The sequence below is a fragment of the Homo sapiens genome, chromosome 7 (genome assembly GCF_000001405.40).
Source record: "Homo sapiens chromosome 7, GRCh38.p14 Primary Assembly".
NCBI classification, from domain to species: domain Eukaryota; kingdom Metazoa; phylum Chordata; class Mammalia; order Primates; family Hominidae; genus Homo; species Homo sapiens.
In genome coordinates this window covers 45,093,445-45,113,090 of record NC_000007.14, presented here as the reverse complement: position 1 = coordinate 45,113,090, position 19,646 = coordinate 45,093,445, and the positions used below count along the sequence as shown (strand labels likewise).

General features: G+C 49.7%; 1 protein-coding gene and 3 non-coding genes across 7 annotated transcripts, besides 4 other annotated features; all 4 read left to right on the top strand.

The window, feature by feature from the left end:
- Positions 867-1,622: an enhancer, noted in NCBI's record as "NANOG-H3K27ac-H3K4me1 hESC enhancer chr7:45151068-45151823 (GRCh37/hg19 assembly coordinates)". NCBI's record gives its function as "activates a minimal SCP1, AML or CMV promoter by ChIP-STARR-seq in naive H9 embryonic stem cells {active_cell/tissue: H9 hESC(naive)}" and the evidence as "EXISTENCE:reporter gene assay evidence [ECO:0000049][PMID:30033119]".
- Positions 867-1,695: a biological region, named in NCBI's record as "NANOG-H3K27ac-H3K4me1 hESC enhancer GRCh37_chr7:45151068-45151823".
- Positions 986-1,695: an enhancer, noted in NCBI's record as "active region_25969". NCBI's record gives its function as "activates an Ori minimal core promoter by ATAC-STARR-seq in GM12878 lymphoblastoid cells {active_cell/tissue: GM12878}" and the evidence as "EXISTENCE:reporter gene assay evidence [ECO:0000049][PMID:35858748]".
- Positions 1,394-12,991, top strand: TBRG4 (transforming growth factor beta regulator 4). 4 transcript variants are annotated; one of them, NM_001261834.2, is made up of 11 exons: positions 1,394-1,448; positions 3,848-4,264; positions 7,327-7,650; positions 8,382-8,553; positions 8,835-8,992; positions 9,648-9,758; positions 10,600-10,744; positions 11,021-11,266; positions 11,477-11,588; positions 11,719-11,833; positions 12,665-12,991. In NM_001261834.2, exons 1-11 carry the CDS (start codon positions 1,422-1,424, stop codon positions 12,764-12,766), a joined length of 1,929 nt encoding a protein of 642 aa, NP_001248763.1. In that variant the 5' UTR covers positions 1,394-1,421; the 3' UTR covers positions 12,767-12,991. The 4 variants fall into 4 exon arrangements, with proteins under 4 accessions (NP_001248763.1, NP_004740.2, NP_954573.1 ...); NM_004749.4 differs by having other exon boundaries at positions 3,804-4,264; NM_199122.3 differs by lacking the exons at positions 8,382-8,553; positions 8,835-8,992 and having other exon boundaries at positions 1,394-1,427; positions 3,804-4,264.
- Positions 6,992-7,123, top strand: SNORA5B (small nucleolar RNA, H/ACA box 5B). Its single transcript, NR_002990.1, has one exon. It is a non-coding gene; the product is annotated as a small nucleolar RNA, H/ACA box 5B (small nucleolar RNA).
- SNORA5C (small nucleolar RNA, H/ACA box 5C) lies at positions 8,049-8,185 on the top strand. Its single transcript, NR_002991.1, has one exon. It is a non-coding gene; the product is annotated as a small nucleolar RNA, H/ACA box 5C (small nucleolar RNA).
- Positions 8,609-8,742, top strand: SNORA5A (small nucleolar RNA, H/ACA box 5A). The gene has a single exon (NR_002919.1). It is a non-coding gene; the product is annotated as a small nucleolar RNA, H/ACA box 5A (small nucleolar RNA).
- Positions 9,361-9,528: a silencer, noted in NCBI's record as "fragment chr7:45143162-45143329 (GRCh37/hg19 assembly coordinates)". NCBI's record gives its function as "represses an EF-1alpha promoter that drives an FKBP-Casp9 reporter gene in an ReSE screen in K562 erythroleukemia cells {active_cell/tissue: K562}" and the evidence as "EXISTENCE:reporter gene assay evidence [ECO:0000049][PMID:32094911]".
- Positions 12,992-19,646: the final 6,655 nt, after the last annotated feature.

Genomic DNA, 19,646 nt, shown 5'->3' with positions numbered 1-19,646 from the left:
GATAGATAGATAGATAGATCTCTTGGTAGGGGTAGATAGGGTCTCCCTATGTTGCCCAGGCTAGTCTTGAACTCTTGGCCTCAAGTGATCCTCCCACCTCAGCCAGCTTGACCAAGAGATTTTTTAATTTGCAACTGGTTAAAAGAGTGAGGCTCTGTGTAAAATTTGGAGTCAGCAGAAAAGAATGTTTAAGATAGTATGCCAGAATCAGCCACAATACACTGGGTCAAAAAAGACCTCTTCAGCAAGATTGATGGTCTGCAAGCTTGACTTAACCCTTGCCTTGCACGGCCTTAGGTCTTGTTTATAATTTGGTATCTTACTACCACAAAGTCTGTTAGTCTTATGATCTCTACTTTAACAAGGGGTGTTCAACCTCCCTTTCCAGAATGGCTGGGAACTCAGTTTTTAAGGTTTCTCTGGGGTCTCCTTGGCTAAGAGGAGGTCCGTTCAGTGCTTGGGGGGCTTACAATTTTATTTTTAGTTTACAAACACAAACAAACGTAATTATTTATTTTTATGTTTTTTGTTTTGTTTTTTGCGACAGAGTCTTGCTCTGTCAACCAGGCTGAGTGCAGTGGCAAGATCGCTGCTCACTGCAACCTCCACCTCCCGGATTCAAGCGATTCTCATGCCTCAGCCTCCCTAGTAGCTGGGACTACAGGTGCGCCCTACCACGCCCGGCTAATTTTTTTGTATTTTTAGTAGAGACGGGGTTTCGCCATGTTGGCCAAGCTGGTCTCGAACTCCTGAACTCAAGTGATCCGCCCACCGAGGCCTGGGATTACAGGCGTGAGCCACCGTGCGTAGCCAAGTAATTATTAACTCCACAGAAAATAAAAGGCTGTGCAGGAAGTAAAAATTAATCAAGTCCATATATAGACCTCAGATACATTTCGTTTGGGCTATCCTGCACTTTACTTTGTAATTAAACACCACTATTTAAAAATCAGGAAAATTGCACATAAAAATCCAGCTGCAAGTGGGCGCTCTGGAGTTCCCCAGTCTCCACTCACTCGTCCTCCCAGCCCCCACAGGCCTCAACGTCGCCTATCCCACTCCACCAGCCCAGTCTTCCACCGCCCTAGGAACTCTCCTACGCCTACGCAAGCAGGGAGGGATAGGGTGACAGCACCGACAACAAAGGGTCGTCTCCCGCACTCCGTATGAGGATGGCGTACTGGTCGGGGGGCAACCGAAGCCTTTCTTCCTAGGTTCTTTATCTTTTCTAAGTTTCCCATGACCTATCGCTCCGCTTGAGCCCTCAGCAAAGATGTCACCCGCCGAAAGGTGTGGCCGGAAGCTGGAGGCGTGGCTTCCGGACGTGCGGGGCGAGGCTCGTCTCGTTTCCGCCGGCGCTCCGAGTGACGTAGGGAAGCGCGCCGCGCACCTCATGGTTCCGGGGACAGTTAGGGCGGCGGATGGAGGTCAGCGGTGGTGCTCGCTGCGTAGGTCTTGTGGCACGGGGAGAAGGGGCGGCTGATCGTGGGTTTCGAGTGCACAACACAGGCGTGGCTGGGAAGGTCCTGGGATGCGGTGGAACTGGGGAGCAGGCTGGGACGCGGTGGGATGCCGTGGGCCTGGCCGTCTGCTCGTTCCGTGCTGGCTTGCCAGTGCGCACGCTTCCTCTCTAGCCCGCGCGGCCAGGCCTGGAAGACGCCGCCCCTGTTGACCGTCCATGACCCCAGCGAGCCAGTTTTCGTGACTTAGTGCAAGTTGTTTTCTCTCTGCATTTTAGAACTAAAGTTTTGGATTGCTGTTTGCCTAAACTCAAGTCTGGCTCCTGGGCTTCCGTTTACTCGGCTAAACTGCTCTTAGGGCTCTTAAAAAATTGGAAAGGCGGCCGGGCGCGGTGGCTCACTCCGGTAATCCCAGCACTTTGGGAGGCCGAGACGGGTGGATCACTTGAGGTCATGGTGAAACCCTGTCTCTACTAAAAATACAAAAATTAGCCAGGTGTGGTGGCGCGGGCCTGTAGTCCCAGCTATTTGGGAGGCTGAGGCAGGAGAATCGCTTGAATCCGGGAGGCTGAGGTTGCAGTGACTCGAGATCGCAGCATTGCACTCCAGTCTGGGCGACAGAGCGAGACTCCGTCTCAAAAAAATAAGTCGGAAAGATTTCTACACTGTGCTTAGGCTCAGGAAGTGGTAGATGTTGCGTTTGGGCAAATACTCCGACTCTCTGATCTCTCTCTCTTTTTTTTTTTCTTTAAGTGGAGTTAGACTAAGCTTTTTACAGCTGCTTTAATCCCCTCATATAAAAAGAAAATGTGCTGGCCATATACCAAGTTCCAGGAAGTGGAGAAAGATCAAACGTACATTCTGCTTTGGCAGAAATGAGGCCTAGGTGAACGTTTTATCTTGCCCTTGTCGCATGTCTTCCCTGGATCATGTAATCACCGTAGGGAGCTAGACTAGCTGATAGAATTTTTTTTCTTTTTTTTTTTTTTTGTGACAGAGTCTCGCTCTGCCACCCAGGCTGGAGTGCAGTGGCGCGATCTCGGCTCACTTCAAGCTCTGCCTCACCCTCCCTAGTAGCTGGGACTACAGGTGCCCGCCACCACGCCCGGCTAATTTTTTTGTATTTTTAGTAGAGACGGTGTTTCACCGTGTTAGCCAGGATGGTCTCGATCTCCTGACCTCGTGATCTGCCCGCCTCAGCCTCCCAAAGTACTGGGATTACAGGCGTGAGCCACTGCGCCTGGCCGATAGAATTGTTAAAAGCAACATCAAGGCTATATGTAACACATTGCTGGAGATGGCAACATTGAGTTTGGCCTTGGAAGGATGAGATGTATTTTAAAGGGTCTTATAGGGGGAGGAGGAGACCCAGATAACAAGCCCTGTAAGGTGAAGTGGAAGTGCAAGGCCTGTTTAAAATGGGGCCTTGTGTTGCTGGGAGGCAGAAAAAGCTAAGACTGAGAAAATCATTCTGGGCCATGTTATGAAGTGCTTCTTATTATTGGTTCAGAATTTTTGCTGTTAGAAATTTGGTGGGGGGGTTTTAGTAGGCTAGTGATGTAATCTACCTTGGTTTCGAGAGGCTCACACCTATGTCTACAGTGTTAAAATATATCCACAGAGGCTTTGGGAATGTGAATTTTTTTTTTTTTTTTTTTTTGAGATGGAGTCTCTCACCCAGGCTGGAGTCCAGTGGTGCAATCTCAGCTCACTGCAATCTCCGCCTCTCAGGTTCAAGCAATTCTTGTGCCTTAGCCTCCCAAGTAGCTGGGATTACAGGCGTGCACCATGATGCCCAGCTAATTTTTATATTTTTAGTAAAGATGGGGTTTCACCATGTTGGCCAGGCTGGTCTCAAACTCCTGACCTCAAGTGATCCACCCGCCTAGGCCTCCCAAAGTGCTGGGATTACAGGCGTGAGCCACCACGCCTGGCCAAGCCCGTAATTTTTAATCCTGGTTACCCTTGAAATAAAAAAATAAAAAAAAATTAATGCTGTCTAGGTCGTGTCTGCAGAGATGCCATCATTTAGGAGGCCTTGGGCAGGACCTGGGAATCTGAATTATTGAACCACATCCTAGGTGATTTCAAATTACAAGCAGGATGGAAACCCTCCCACCCAGGCTGTAATGTTCCTGAGTTTTGATATTTGATGGCATTCTGTACTGAAACAAAAATCCTGTGAGACTTTTGCTTTAGAAAATACTATCACATACCTATGGATTGTCAAGAAAGACTTAGTCTGATTTTACAGATAGAGTGGCTTTGACTATTTCATTTCTCAAGTTTGTGAGTCAGGAACTGCCCCTGTAGTAGCCCCTTCTCTCTCCTTTTTCTCTTCAGGGTTTGGAATCACTTGCTAGGAGTCTTGTCTCTCTGCCACCCAGGACATCATGGCAGCTCACCTGGTAAAGCGATGCACGTGCCTCCTGAGAGAAGCTGCTCGTCAGGCCCCTGCCATGGCTCCAGTTGGCCGACTGAGACTTGCCTGGGTAGCCCATAAGACTCTGACTTCCTCAGCCACCTCACCCATTTCCCACCTCCCAGGTTCCTTGATGGAGCCGGTGGAGAAGGAACGAGCATCTACTCCCTACATAGAGAAGCAGGTGGACCACCTCATCAAGAAGGCCACAAGGCCAGAGGAGCTCCTGGAGCTACTTGGTGGCAGTCACGACTTGGACAGCAATCAAGCAGCAATGGTACTTATCCGGCTCTCTCACTTGCTGTCTGAGAAGCCAGAAGATAAAGGCTTGCTCATACAGGATGCCCACTTTCATCAACTTCTCTGTCTGCTCAACAGTCAGGTGGGTGCCGGAGTGTGGTCTGAGAGCATAGACAAGAGGAAAACAGCCAGAAATGCTGGGGTCCACAGCAGCCAGTGCTTACCAAGCATAGACAGGGGCCTTGCATCTCTTGTGATATTTTTTATTTTTTTATAAATTTCAAAGTGCTTTATCGTGCTTTCTCTTTGTTTATCCTTACAAGAGGCCTGTTAGGTAAATATTGCTATGCTCGTCTTACAGACAGCCAAGACGCATAGTGATAGAAGCATGGGAAGTGAGCCTGGTTCTTCTCAGTTCTTTGGGTGCTTTCCCCCTCACCATATAGTCTTGACTTGTATTGCTCTCTGCCAGTGTCTGGCTGATGGCAAGGCACTGTTTTTGAAGCCAAAGGAGATGCAGCATGACTGATGGAAGGTCCTTGAAACTTGAGACAGACGTGGGCATGATCTAGCCATGTTCAGACCCTCCAAGGATGACCATGGAGAGAAGCAACAAGACCCATTTGTGTGGCACTGAGCAGGGCAGAACTCAGACTACAGAAGCCAGTTCCTGCTCACTGTGAGGGACTCCCTTCTTAGAGAGTCTTCCCCTGGGCTCCATGTACAAAAAAAGGAGTACAGACTCCTGCTGTGGCTGAACTGGCCCTAAATCCCTGGTCTGCTTTGGAAGGGAAGTGCTGGGGCACTGAAACCATGTTTCCAGTTGTCAGGTGTAATGAAGAGAAAGGCACTATCCAAGGAAGGAGTTGCACTAACTGAGTGCTTTTCAAACTGCAGGTTATAAAATCAGTGTAGTGGGATGTGGCCAGCTGATTCTTAATGAGGTAGAGTAGTATAAAAAATACCAGAATTCATCACATATAGTAAGGGGATTCACTAATGTCTCATGGAACTTTTGTTCTAGTTAAGGATGTATATATATGCCTGTGTTGTGTGGACTGGGGTTACAGTACATAATTATTTCTTGCTGGGGATATAATTCATAAAATGAACTTAGTTAGGCCCCCTTGTTATTTGGCTACAATTCTAATTGCTGTTTATTGACTCTTTTTACTCACATGTGATTTAAGAAAGTCTTATGATGCAAGACTGAACATTGTAACAAAATTATAAGGCAAGTATCTGTAATGTAATAACAGCTTTCTTTTCAAAGATTTTCCTGCTGTCCATGAAACCGGAAGGTAGACACCCAGATCTTCTGTAAGATTAGAATTTACTCCAGTACTTTCTCCCTCCTCCCCAGCCCTTCAGACAGCAGCTTCTCTGTTCGCAGCTCACTTCCTTGAAGGTGTGGTTTCTGCTTCTCATTCATAAGCGCAGAGACTGAACCTGAGGGTTCAGTGTTGAGAGACTTGGCCCAGGAAAGGACAGAGCCATACTTGTTTTACCATCTGCTCTCTTCTGCAAGGCTGGATTCAGGGCCAAAGGGCTCTAGAGCCACCCATGTTGACACTGTGGGCCCTGTGGACACAGTACCTGAATAGCAGTTACCCTCTTCAGAAACAAAGCAGGCACCAGCAGAGAGGACGGGCTGTGGTGCAGGTTCCGGACCCAGAACTATGTAGAAATAAGTTCACCTTCGTTTACCTGTATAGTGGGACTGATGGTTCTCATAGGATGTTGGTGTCTCATGGGGGTACGCACACAGAAGGATGCCTGGCATTTAGTAAGAGCCTGTTCAGAGGTGCTGCTGGTAGCAGCAGCAGCTTGGTCATCCCTAGGAGGCCTCTGCATTTGGGAGTGGGCAGGGCTTAGTGATACCGGGGGTCTTTTTACCCATATGTCAAAAGCGTTCCTGCAAACCTTTGTGCCTGGGGTGCTCCTCCCTTTGCAGGCAGTTGAGGGTCTGGCATGCTTGGGTGCCGCGTCCCTGGAGGGTAAAGGTGGTGGTTCACTGCCTAACGCACTGCAGGGACTCCTGCTTATTGCAGCAGTTGCATTCCTAAGAAACTTTCACGTTGCCAGAAACTGCGAGATTGGTTTGTTAGAGAACAGTTTAGGGGTTGGAGCTTCTCTGACTCAAAAACAAATTATTTTCCTGGAGAAAAGCCAGTGTGTTTTGTTTTGTTGTTTGAGACAGAGTCTCACTCTGTCACCCAGGCTGGAGTGCAGTGGCACAATCTCAGCTCACTGCAGCCTCCACCTTCCAGGTTCAAGTGATCTTCCCACCTCAGCCTCCCAAGTAGGTGGGACTACAGGCATGTGCCACCACACCTGGCTAATTTTTGTAATTTTAATAGGCACAGGGTTTCACCACGTTCACCAGGCTAGTCTCGAACTCCTGACCTCAGGTGATCTGCCTGGCCCAAGTTTTTAATACCTAAAACTTTTAATGTCGTTGCAAGTAAAAGTCACGAATGATAACAAAACTGATCTTAGCAAGCGTAAGTGCCACCTTCTCTGCCATCAGGTGACATCCATCAGGCTCAACTTTTTCTCTGACCTCTTGTATTGATTTGACAGCTTTACTTGCAGCTGAAGTCTACGTGCCCACTACCCAGAGCTGTAGCCAGGACCATGTAAAAGAGTGTGGTCTCTCTTTAATCAACTACATTAGGTCAAAACTTCATTGGGGAAACTTGGAGAATTTCCCTTGCCACTCTAGAGTTCTTGCTTGCAAGCAATTGCAAATGACCTCAGCCACCTTGAGCAGAAATGTGCTATTTATTGTAGCCTAGAGGATCAGGCTCAGAGGTGTACCCTTGGATCTGGCCTGTGCCTGAGGGGTGCTCTGGCTCTGCAGGTGCTTGGCAGCCATGTCAAATTCAGTGCCTGCCCTGTCTATGGTAGGCACTGGCCCAGAAGACTGCCACAGAAACAGTGACTCACAGGCCCTGTTACTGTGTCCCAGGCTCAGGGATAAATTTGGTTACAGACACCAAGCGTCTAGGCCTCGAGGCTGAGCAAGGCTGTGAGGAGCAGCCAGGCACTGGGGCCCTGTTACAATGGAGTGGGGAACTGATACTGTCTTCTCTGAAGAGTTGTAGTAAATGCTCATGAAACAAGGTTCAGAGAGGTAGCCTCCAGCTCACACACAGGACTGACAGTGCCACATCATTTCTCCTGTGTCCTTTCTCTGCCTAGATTGCCTCGGTCTGGCATGGTACCCTCTCGAAGCTGCTGGGAAGCCTGTATGCTCTGGGCATCCCCAAGGCCTCCAAGGAGCTGCAGTCGGTGGAGCAGGAGGTCCGCTGGCGCATGCGGAAGCTCAAGTACAAGCACCTGGCCTTCCTGGCAGAGTCCTGTGCCACCCTCTCACAGGAGCAGCACTCGCAGGAGCTGCTGGCTGAGCTGCTCACACACCTGGAAAGGCGTTGGACAGAAATTGAAGATTCCCACACATTAGTGACCGTCATGATGAAGGTGGGACACCTCTCGGAGCCACTAATGAACCGCCTGGAAGACAAGGTACTGGGCCTGAAAGCAGGTGGCACCCAGCCTGCCTCCCCTGGGCTTTGGGCTTGTTCTTTGGGTGACAGTTGTCTGCAGAGGGGTGCGTTGTGTGCACTGGGATCAGAGCCCTGGGAGCTTCTGTCTGGAGCCTCAGGCATCACATGGGGCAGGACCAGAGGGCTCGGAGCTGCAACAGGTGGTTGCCCTGTGGCTGCATTCATCAAGCACCACTTGCTCCTCCCAACACAGGCGCTTCCCTGATTGCACCTTTATCTTTCCCCCAAACCCCATCACAGCACGATCTTGAGAGGGGGGCATGGCAGGCAGCTCCTGAAGTAACACAGCTACTGCCCAGGCCTGGCTTCTGGCTAGAACTCTCCTGGAGATGTGCTAACCCCTATCGGCTGTAGCCCTGCAGTCAAGTCAAATTCAGTGCCCGTTTCTGTCATAGCGGGGGCTGGCCCAGATGGCTGCCACAGCAAGCTCCACAGCTCATGGGCCCTGGGTCACCTACCCTGGGACCTGGGGATAAGTTTGGCTGTGGACAGTGCTCCAGGTCCAGGGGTTCCCTGGGGTGGATGAGGAGGCAGGCCCTGCACAGTGGTCCTGTGTTTAGTCAGCTCAGGCCCAGTCTGACAGGGGCTGTCACAGGGGCTGCACTGGATGGGACCATGGGACCCCTGCCCCCAGCTCATCTCTGCCACCCCAGGCCATTGAGCTGACCTCTGCGCGGCTGTGGTTGACAGTGCCTGGAGTTGGTGGAGCACTTTGGCCCCAATGAGCTGCGGAAGGTGCTGGTGATGCTGGCAGCTCAGAGCCGGCGGTCCGTGCCCTTGCTGCGGGCCATCTCCTACCACCTGGTGCAGAAGCCCTTCTCTCTGACGAAAGATGTGCTCTTGGACGTGGCCTATGCCTATGGTGAGCCCTTTGGACAGAACGGTGGAGAGAGGGGAGCGCTGGCCCTGCAGATGCCTGCAGCCGTGTCAAATTCAGTACCTGTCCTATGCATGGTAGGCACTGGCCCAGAAGGCTGCCACAGAAACACTGTGACTCATGGGCCCTGTTCCTGTGTCCCAGGCTCAGGGATAAATTTGGTTACAGACATCAAATATCTAGACCTCGAGGCTGAGGTGGGGTGGAGCTGCTGGGTGATTGCTGACTCTCTCCAGCTAAACCCTGTGATCTGCTCTGTCCTGAAGGCAAACTCAGCTTTCACCAGACCCAGGTGTCCCAGCGCCTGGCCACCGACCTGCTATCCCTCATGCCCAGCCTGACTTCTGGTGAGGTGGCCCACTGTGCCAAGTCCTTCGCCTTACTCAAGTGGCTCAGCCTGCCCCTGTTTGAGGCCTTTGCCCAGGTGAGCCAGGGCCTGGCCCCAACTCAGAGAAGCTGGCTTCCTGGCCATCTGCTGGGAACCATTGCCTTAGTCGGGAAAGTAAAGCCAGTCTGAAAATGCTCACTTGTGGGGGCAAATACATATTTCTTGCATTTTGGCTTATTTTGAAAGGGCTGCTATTCAGTTCTCAAAAAAGTGTTTGAGAACTGTTTCCTCTGTTCTTTCACTGACCATTATAAGTGCTTCCATCCATTTTGGGGTAGCTGTAGCAGGTAGCAGCATGGCTGATGAGACTGAGAATCCACTGAGAACTGTCTACTGAATCACTGATCCCCCTCGCAAAGTGGAACTGTACAGAAAGATGACACCTGCAGTTACGTTTATGTGTGACCAGTCTAAACTAAGTTTACTGGTTGGAGAATATTTCTAAATCCCTTATCAGAAAGAAGCAGCTTCTAGGTGTCCCCAGCCTCTGTGGGTAGTTGCTGCCAGGCGAAGGAGTGTCTGGGCCTGTGTAAGTCCTTCTCTGTTCCCGACACAGCTCATGGGCCCTGGATGGAGGGTCCTGCCATTGCCCCTGGCCATGCAGGCTCTCCTCAGACTCAGAGCCAGGCAGGAGGACAGCGTGCTGGGCAGAGAGCTTATTCTGTCCCTCTGCTATTTCTGACCCACCCAGCACGTCCTGAACAGAGCGCAGGACATCACCCTGCCCCACCTGTGCAGCGTACTTCTGGCTTTTGCGCGTCTGAACTTCCATCCAGACCAAGAGGATCAGTTCTTCAGCCTGGTAGGGCCTCTGGGCTCCCACTGCTCGACCTTTATCCTCCCCTTCAGCTAATGGCTCATGAACCGTCCTCCCAAGATCAGCTCGGGCTAGGTGGAGGCGGGAGGGGCCACTATGTGTGGCATGGGAGGGCAGGGGGAACTGATTGGAGCCAGGCATCCTAGGGATTACTGAGAACACATGAAATCCTGCTGTCTGGTTGACTGCCCTGCCAGGCAGCGCTGGGGGGTCCTGCCTCTGGTGCTCCTTTTAATGCCCTGTTGATGCTCAGAAGCTCCAGTGGGCCTTCGTGCTATGTGCACCAGCTCAGGGCAGGAGGGGGAGCCTTCTTTATGAAGACCTTAGGACAGCCACAGAGGCCAGCAGGCCAGGTGTGATCCCAGGCTCCCTGGGATTCCATCAGGGGTTTGTCTGGCACAGTCCTGAGAACAATTAGCCAGGGGCTGGGGAGTGCTGCTTCACCTCTTGGATGCTCTCATCTCTCAGAGGACCAGAGATTCCTCCTTCCTTGTCCCAGGTGCTCACTTGGAGACATTATGGGAGAAGGGATCTTGTTCCCTGCCAGTAGGTTGGTTGTAGTAAACCTAATCAAATGCCAGCATTCAGCAGCACTCTTCTGCTGTTCAGAGTGGTCTTGGGGCATGAGGAAGATTCCTGGTACCTTCAAGCCCAGGATTGCTCCAGGCCTCACCAAGGGCCAGGGTTCTGCCTCTTGTTACCTAGTAGCCTCCTCTGGCCTCATCCCAACCAGGCCAAGACCACATCATGGATTGTGTCTCACCCATGGCTATTTGCAGCCCCTAAGGAGAGCCTGCTTTCTCCACCACACTCTATCCTTGCCCAGGTACATGAGAAGCTGGGGTCAGAGCTGCCAGGCCTGGAGCCAGCCCTGCAGGTGGACCTGGTGTGGGCCCTGTGTGTGCTGCAGCAGGCACGGGAAGCAGAGCTGCAAGCCGTCCTCCACCCTGAATTTCACATCCAATTTCTAGGTGAGCCCCCTGCCCCTAGTACTACTGGAACTGGGAAACTGCCTGGTCTTGTCTGCCTAGTGCCAGGTGAGAATTTGGGGCAGATGGAGGCCAGGGCTCTCCCTCCCCCTCGCTCTCCATCCTCTCCCTGTAGGTGGCCAGCAGACCGTAACTCTGCTGCCTCCTGACCCAGAAAACTGGGCTGGGACTGGGTGTAGGGGTGCACTGCCCTCTCATCAGGGTCTCCCCATCTCTGGCCGTAGGCCCACCTCCCTCTTCTTTCTCCTTGTCTCCTAGGGGGCAAGTCTCAGAAGGATCAGAACACCTTCCAGAAGCTGCTCCACATCAACGCCACTGCCCTGCTGGAGTACCCCGAGTACTCGGGTCCCCTTCTGCCTGCCTCGGCTGTGGCCCCTGGGCCCTCAGCCCTTGACAGGAAGGTGACCCCCCTGCAAAAGGAGCTGCAGGAGACGCTGAAGGGGCTGCTGGGGAGCGCCGACAAGGGCAGCCTCGAGGTGGCCACGCAGTATGGCTGGGTGCTGGGTGAGGGCTCCCCCTGGTTGGCACAGGGCCTGGCATTGCCTGAGTCTAACGGGACTCTTCTAACCCACCCCGTCTGCAGCAAGTACTGACCTAGGGAGCTGCAGGGTGTCAGCCTGGGCTCCCCACAGTCCCATCTTTGTTCATCTTTCCTGTGGGGGGGTTTCTGAGGGATGTCCCCCAACATGTTCTCATCCCACACCCCTTCCCCAGATGCTGAGGTGCTGCTGGACAGTGACGGCGAGTTTCTGCCCGTAAGGGACTTTGTGGCACCTCACCTTGCCCAGCCAACTGGGAGCCAGTCACCACCTCCAGGGTCTAAGAGGTAGGTGGCCAGGGACCTGTTGGCCATGGGGGCACCATGGCTGTTGGACTGCATATTCTTTGCTTTCCATCTTTCCCCTCCGAGGGGCTGGGAGAGTGGAAGCATGTCAGCCACCTCTTCTTCCTTCCAGGCTAGCGTTCTTGCGGTGGGAGTTCCCCAACTTCAACAGCCGAAGCAAGGACTTGCTGGGTCGCTTTGTTCTGGCCCGGCGACACATAGTGGCTGCAGGCTTCCTGATAGTGGACGTGAGTACCTCTTGGGCAGGTGGTCACTGCACAGGGAGAATCCCCAACCCACGCTAGAGAGGGGATCAGGTGGAACTGAGCCAGCAGGTATAGACACATGCCCTGCCCGTGGCCCCGGGCCTCTCCCAGGAGCCCAGGGAGGGAGTTTACTGTGGATCCTAGCTGCTCCAGCCTCCCCTCTAACCTTCCCAGCATCTCACCCCGTGGGTGAACCCAAAAAGGCAACCAAGCCTGCTTATTCAGCTTAAGAGGTGGGCAGGGTAGGGCCCATTCACAGATGAGCAGCTTGAAGCCCAAGAGGCTGCACAGCTGTTGGGGCTCTGAGTGCAGCTGCTCTGCCCCCTTGGTCAGCGCCTGTTGTCAGGAAAAGTAGGACCAGTGGAACTGGCAGGAGCAGAAAGATGCAGGTCTTGGGCCTGACTCTGGTTTCACACCTGGGAGACCTTGGTTAAGATCAAAGGTGGTCACCTTCCCTGGGAAGGGCCAGTGAATGAACATGTGGCTTCATGAGCCACACAAGGGTTCTGTTTGCTTCTTTGGGTTGTTGTGAGTTTTTTAACTGTTTAAAATTCAGAAGCCCTTCTTGGGCCTCCGAGTAGTTTGCAGACCCCTCCAGCACTGACAGTGCTAGCACCTCTCCCCGCCCGCACTGCCTGCAGTTCATGGGCTCTGCCTTGAAGACTTGGAGGCCAAGGGGCAGGTGTGCAGAGCTGTTGGTCAGCAGAGGTGTTGGGTGAGGGGTCAATGTGAGGACAGCAGGCAAGCAGGCAGAGCCACTGGCTGGAAGGGATCTCCTTGCCCATGTGACCTGTCTCCCCTGCCTCCTTCTAGGTCCCATTCTATGAGTGGCTGGAACTCAAGTCTGAATGGCAGAAAGGCGCCTACCTCAAGGACAAGATGCGCAAAGCGGTGGCTGAGGAGCTGGCCAAGTGACTTGTGCCAGCAGCATGGACTGCGTGCCTCTCCGCCGGAGGTCTAGCTGTGGGCGGCCAAGAAGGGTCACCCTTGAGGACAAACCTCTGTGCAGGACCTTGGCCAGAGTGGGGAGGGTGGCCAGCCACTCTGAGGGACAGAACGTCCTCTTGTGTATAATAAACCTTTAATTTTGGTGTTGGACCCCTGGGGCCTTCCCAGGCTTGGTCACCCTCTGCACTGTCAGCACTTGTCTGTCTGCTTTGTTGAGCAGGGCGTGGTTCTCCAGTCTGCCCTGTGCACTCCCCCGCCACGCCCAGCCCAAGAGGGCTGCTTTAGGGACAGACCTGGGTTGTTACCTGCCTGTCTCTCCCAGCTTCTTCCCTCCATGAGTGCTTATTCACATATGCCGGCCTCTTGCGTAGGGGTCTGTATCAGCCCCAGCAGGCAGGTGGAGTCCTAGAATTCTGAACCTCCAGAGCAGAGGAGCTTCCCAGGGAAGCTGATTGGAGATTCAGTGCATGGCTGGGGGTTCTGATGGAGCTGTGGCTACTGAACCACAGCCATCCTGGGAGGCTTTCTCCCATCAGTTGTCTCACACTTAGCTGAGTGAAAGGCACCCTGACAGCATGTGGTGACAGGTGATGTGAGGGCTGGGTGAGCACTTGGGAGGCGCTGGCTCTGGGAGAGGAGAAGATCCCACTTGGCTGACACCACGGCACCAAGAGCCAAACTCCATCGTTGTCTTCACCACCCTGACCAGAGCCTTGTGCTGTCATCTAGGAACTGGCTGCCCAAACAGGACCCTGGCAGCCTCCCTGCTGCTGCGGGGATTACCAGGTGCTGGGAGGCAACAAGCTTTCTACCTTCCAGCCTCTCCTTAGAGACACCTATTGGCAGAACCTGACTAAATAGCAGTCAGGGAACTGGGTTGCCTCCAGCCATACAGAACAGAGAGTAGGACAGTGGGGTGGAGCTGAGATGGAGAGGCCCACAGCCCTCAGCACTGTAGGCTCCCAACCCTAGGCTGTTTCCCCAAAAAGAAAAAGTCTAGTCACTGCTCTGATGCTTGGCCACTCACCCAAGCATTGGGGTAGTTTGTGCTGGCTTCACTGGGCACCATCAGGCACACCCAGCCTGTAGTTTTTGTTTTATATTACCTAAGTCGGCCAGGTGTGGTGGGATCACGCCTGTAATCCCAGCACTTAGGGAGGCTGGGGCGGGCGAATCGCCTGAGGCCAGGAATTCAAGACCAACCTGGCCAACATTGTGAAACCCTGTCTCTACTAAAAATATAAAAATTAGTCGGGCATGATGACAGGCACCTGTAATCCCAGCTACTCAGGAGGCTGAGGCAGGTGAATCACTTGAACCCGGGAGGTGGAGGCTGCAGTGAGTTAAGATTGTGCCACTGCACTCCAGCCTGGGTAACAGAGCAAGACTCTGTCTCAAAAAATATATATGTGTGTGTGTGTGTGTGTATATATATGTACATGTGTATATAAGTATATATGTGTGTATATATGTATATATACACGTATATACACACACACCCCTAAGTCATGATTTTGGAGCAATTGTAAGTGGTGTAGTGCTTAATTTTGGCATTCACACATTGATTGTTAGCATATAGAAATGGGATTGATTTTTATGTGATCTTGCTAAACTTTATGCATTTTTAAAATTCCTTTGGATTTCCTATGTAGATATTTATGTCCTGAAAACAGGAATGTATTTATCCTTTCAAATCAATATGCTTTTTATTTTGTTATTTATGACCACTTCATTAAAATATAATTCACATGCCATACACTTCACCCATTTAAAATGTATAATTAGGCCAGGTGTGGTGGCTCACGTCTGTAATCCCAGCAGTTTGGGAGGCCAAGGCCCTCAGATCTTGAGCCCAGGAGTTCAAGACCACCCTGGGCAACAGGCAAAACCCTGTCTCTATTTTTTAAAATACAAGAATTAGCCGCAGTGGCACGCACCTGTCGTCCCAGCAACCCAGGAGGCTGAGGTAGGAGGATCACTTAAGCCTGGGAAGTCAAGCCTGCAGTGAACCATGATAGCACCACTGCAGTCCAGCCTGGGCGACAGAGTGAGACCCCATCTCGAAAACAAAAATGTATAATTCAGTGGTTTTTAGTCTCTTTGCAGATACATGCAACCATCACCACAATTTGCACATTTTCTAAGCCTCATATACTGATGTGATATTTTGGTGTTTTGTGACTGGCTTCATTTACTTAGCATATTGTTTTCATGTTTCATTCATGTCGCATGTATGAGTATTCATTCCTTTATTTGGCTGAATAATATTCCATTATAGTTTGTGCCACATTTTGTTTATCCATTCATCCATTGATGGACATGTGGATTGTTTCCACCTTCTGGATAATATGAACTGATACAGTTTGGATATTTTGTCCCCTCCAAATCTCATGAAATAGGATCACCAGTGTTGGAGAATGGGGCCTGTTAGGAAGTGTTTGGATCATAGGAACATCTGTCATAAATGGCTTGGTGCCATCCTTGTAATGAGTGAGTTCTTGCTCTATATTAGTTCACTTGAAAGCTGGTTGTTGGGAACTCCTGCCCTATCTGTTCTGCCCTCTCTCGTCATGTGACATGCCTGCTCCTTGTTCACCTTCTGTCATGAGTAAAAGCTTCCTAAGGCCTTCCCAGGAGCCAAGCAGATGTCAGTACCATGCTTGTACAGCCTGCAGAACTGTGAGCCAAATAAACTTCTTTATAAATTACCATCTCAGATATTCTTCTATAGCAATGCAAAATGGACTAATACATGAATAATGCTGCTATAAATATTCCTGTACAAGTTTGAGTATAAATGTATGTTTTCATTTTTCTCTTGGTTATATACCTAGGAGTGGAATTGCTGGGTCTATGGTAACTATGTTTAGTCGTTTAAGGAACTGCTAGACTGTTTTACATTCCCACCAGCAGTGTGTAAGGTTTCAGATCTCTCTACATCCTCAATGACACTTGTAATTTGAGTTTTATTTTAGCCATGTGAGTGCGTATAAAGTGATTTCTCATTGTGGTTTTTGTTATTTCCCTAATAACTAATGGTTTTCAGCATTTTTCATTTACTTATTTGGCCATTTGCATGTCTTTTGGAAGAATATCTTTTTTAAGATTCAGGGAGTGGCCGGGCACGGGGGCTCACACCTGTAATCCCAGCACTTTGGGAGGCCAAGGTGGGCGGGTCATGAGGTCAGGAGATTGAGACCATCCTGGCCAACACAGTGAAACACCATCTCTACTAAAAATACAAAAAAATTGGCCGGGCGTGGTGGCAGGTGCCCGTAGTCCCAACTGCTTGGGAGGCTGAGGCAGGAGAATGGCATGAACCTGGGAGGTGGAGCTTGCAGTGAGCTGAGATCGTGCCACTGCACTCCAGCCTGGGCAACAGAAGCAGACTGTCTCAAAAAAAAAAAAAAAAAAAAAATAGATTTAGGGAGTACACTAGGTGCAGGTTTGTTACATGGGTATACTATATCATGCTGAGGTTTGGGCTTCTAATGAACCCATTACCCACGTAATGAACATAGTACCCAGTGGTAGTTTTTCAACCCTTGTCTCCCACCCTCCCCACATTTGGAGTCTCCAGTGTCTATTATTTCCATCTTTATGTCCATGTGTACCCCTCCATTGTTTAGCTCTCATTTATAAGTGAGAACATGCGATATTTGATTTTCAGTTTCTCAGTTATTTCACAAGATAATGGCCTCTAGCTCCATTCATCTTGCTGCAAAGGTGTGTGTGTATGTGTGTGCACTGGGTAATTTATAAGAAAAGAGGTTTAATTGGCATGGGGTTCTGCAAGCTGTACACGAAGCATAGTGGGATCTGTTTCTGGGGAGGCCTCAGGAGGCTCCCCATCGTGGTAGGAAGGCAAAGGGGGAACAGGCATGTCACATGGTGAAGCAGGAGCAAGAGAGAGAGTGTGTAGAGTGGGGAGATGCCACACACTTTTAAATGACCAAATCTTGGTCGGGCGCGGTGGCTTATGCCTGTAATCCCAGCACTTTGGGAGGCCGAGGCGGGCGGATCACGAGGTCAGGAGATCAAGACCATCCTGGCCAACATGGTGAAACCCCATCTCTACTAAAATACAAAAAAAAAAAAAAATTAGCTGGGCCTAGTGGTGCATGCCTGTAGTCTCAGCTACTCAGGAGCCTGAGGCATGGGAATTGCTCGAATCTGGGAGGCAGAGGTTGCAGTGAGCCAAGGTCACACCACTGCACTCCAGCCTGGCAACAGAGCAAGACTCAGTCTCAAAAAAGACCAAATCTCAGGAGAACTCACTGTCTCAAAGACAGCACCAAACCATGAGGGGTCCGTCCCCATGATCCAAACACCTCCCACCAGGCCCCACCTCCAGCATTGGGGATTACAATTCAACTGAGATTTGGGTGGAGACAGATACCAGACTATATCATGCTGCTACAACAGAATACTGCAAACTGAGTAATTTATAAAGAACAGAACTTGGCCAGGCATGGTGGCTCATGCCTGTAATCCCAGCACTTTGGGAGACCAAGTTGGGCAGATCATGAGGTCAGGAGTTCAAGACCAGCCTGACCAACATGGTGAAACCCTGTCTCTATTAAAAGTACAAAAATTAGCCAGGCATGGTGGCAAGTGCCTGTAATCCCAGCTACTCAGGAGGATGAGGCAGGAGAATCACTTGAACCCAGGAGGTGGAGGTTGCAGTGAGCCAAGATCACGCCACTGCACTCCAGCCTGGGTGACAGAGTGAGACTGTGTCTCAAAAAAAAAAAGAAAAGAATTTTATGTGGTTCATGGTTCTGGAGGCTGGGAAGTCTAAGAGCATGGCACCAGCATCTAGTGAGTGTCATCCTATAGCAGAAGGCATCACACAGTGAGATAGCATGCACAAGACAGAGAAAATGAGGCCAAATTTATTCTTTTATCAGGGGCCCACCCTTCAGAATCTAAACCATCCCATGTTAACAGCATTAATGATAGCCAAGACCTCATGGTCTAAATGCCTCTTAAAGGTGTCTTACCTCTTAATACTGTTGCAATGCAGTTAAATTTCAACATGAGTTTAAGAGGGCATATTCAAACGGTAGCATGGTGTGAAGTAAGTGTCAGCTTTATTTTGCATGTGGCTATCCTTTTGTCCCAGCACCATTTGTTGAAAAGACTGTTCTTTCCCCCTACCCCTTTCAATGATCTTGATAGCCTTGTCAAAAATCAGTCTGCTTCTGGGCTCTCAGTTCTATTCCATTTATGTTTATGTCTATCCTTCTGCCAGTAGCACACTATCTCTTGATTGCTGTTGCTTTGTACTAAGTACTGAAATTGGGAGGTGGTTTTTGTTTTCAAGATTGTTTGGCTACTCTAGGTCCCTTGCAATTCCATGTGATTTTTAGAATTAACTCATCCATTTCTACAATGAAGTTAGTTGGGACTCTGATAGGGATTGGGTTGGATCTTTAGATCTTGGGGATTTTTACCATGTGAATGTTAAGTCTTCTGATCCATGAACATGGGATACTTTCATATTTATTTAGATATTCCTTAATTCTTTCAACATTGTTTTGGAGTTTCCAGAGTATTAGTTTTGAACTACTTTTGTTAAATTTATTCCTGAGTATGTTATTTTTTTAATGCCAGTTTGAATGGAATTGTTTGCTTATTTTTTTATTTTTAGAAACAGGGCCTTGCTGTGTTGGCCAGGGTGGCCTCAAACTCCTGGGCTCAAGCAATCCTTCTGCCTCAGCCACCCAAGTAGCTGGGATACAGGTGTGCACCATCATGCCTGGCTCCTGGAATTTTCATAATCTCAATGTTGGATTTTCATTGCAAGTTTACAGAAAAACAATTGATTTTTATATATGGATTTTGAATCCTGCAACCTTGCTGAACTATTATAATGTGTCTGATTATAATGTGTCTGTGGGTCTATTTTCTTTTTCTTTTTTTGAGATGGAGTCTTGCTGTGTCACCCAGGCTGGAGTGCAGTTGCCTGATCTTGGCTCACTGCAACCTCTGCCACCTGGGTTCAAGCAATTCTCCCTGCCTCAGCCTCCTGAGTAGATGGGATTACAGGCACCCACCACCACGCTTGGCTAATTTTTGTATTTTTTAGTAGAGATGGGGTTTTGCCGTGTTGGCCAGGCTGGTCTTGAACTCCTGACCTCAGGTGATCCACCCACCTCAGCTTCCCAAAATGCTGGGATTACAGGCATGTGGGTCTATTTTCATATATTCTTTTTTAGTTCATTGAACTTTGTGGCTGTGTAGATTATTGTTCTTCAGTAAATTTGAGAAGTTTTCAGTCATTACTATTTCATATATTTTTCTTTCTCCTTTTTCTTTTCTCTCCTTTTGGTATTCCCATTATGTGTATGTGGGTGTGCTTAATAGTGTTCACATTCTCTGGAGTTTCTGTTCATTTTTCCTTTTTTTTCTGTTATTCAGTTTGTATAATCTCCATCAATCTCTAATCTCTATCAAGTTCACTAATTCTTTCTTCGCCCACTGAAATCTACTGTTCAGCCCTCTTGTGAATTTTTTCTTTCAGATATTTTACTTTTCAACTCCATAATTTGCATTTTTAAAAAATTTATATCCAGCCTGGGCAACATGGTGAGACCTCGTCTCTACAAAAAAATTTTAAAATTAGCTGGGTGTGGTGGCACATACCTCAACTATTCAGGAGGCTGAAGTGGGAAGATCACCTGAGCCCCAGAGGTGGAGGCTGCAATGAGCCATGATCACACCACCGCACTCCGGCTGGGGCAACAGAGTGACAGCCTGTCTCAAAAAAAATTTTTTTTTAATTAAAAAAATAATTTCTATCTCTTTGCTGATATTCTCTATTTGATGGAATATCATCATATAC

What these genes read in the sequence shown, in the direction of transcription:
- TBRG4 (NM_001261834.2), top strand. Translation starts at nt 1,422, where the DNA reads ATGGAGGTCAGCGGTGGTGCTCGCTGC. An exon ending in TGTTTGAGGCCTTTGCCCAG is followed by an intron (nt 8,993 to 9,647) that starts GTGAGCCAGGGC and finishes TGACCCACCCAG; the next exon opens with CACGTCCTGAACAGAGCGCA. An exon ending in ATTTCACATCCAATTTCTAG is followed by an intron (nt 10,745 to 11,020) that starts GTGAGCCCCCTG and finishes CTTGTCTCCTAG; the next exon opens with GGGGCAAGTCTCAGAAGGAT.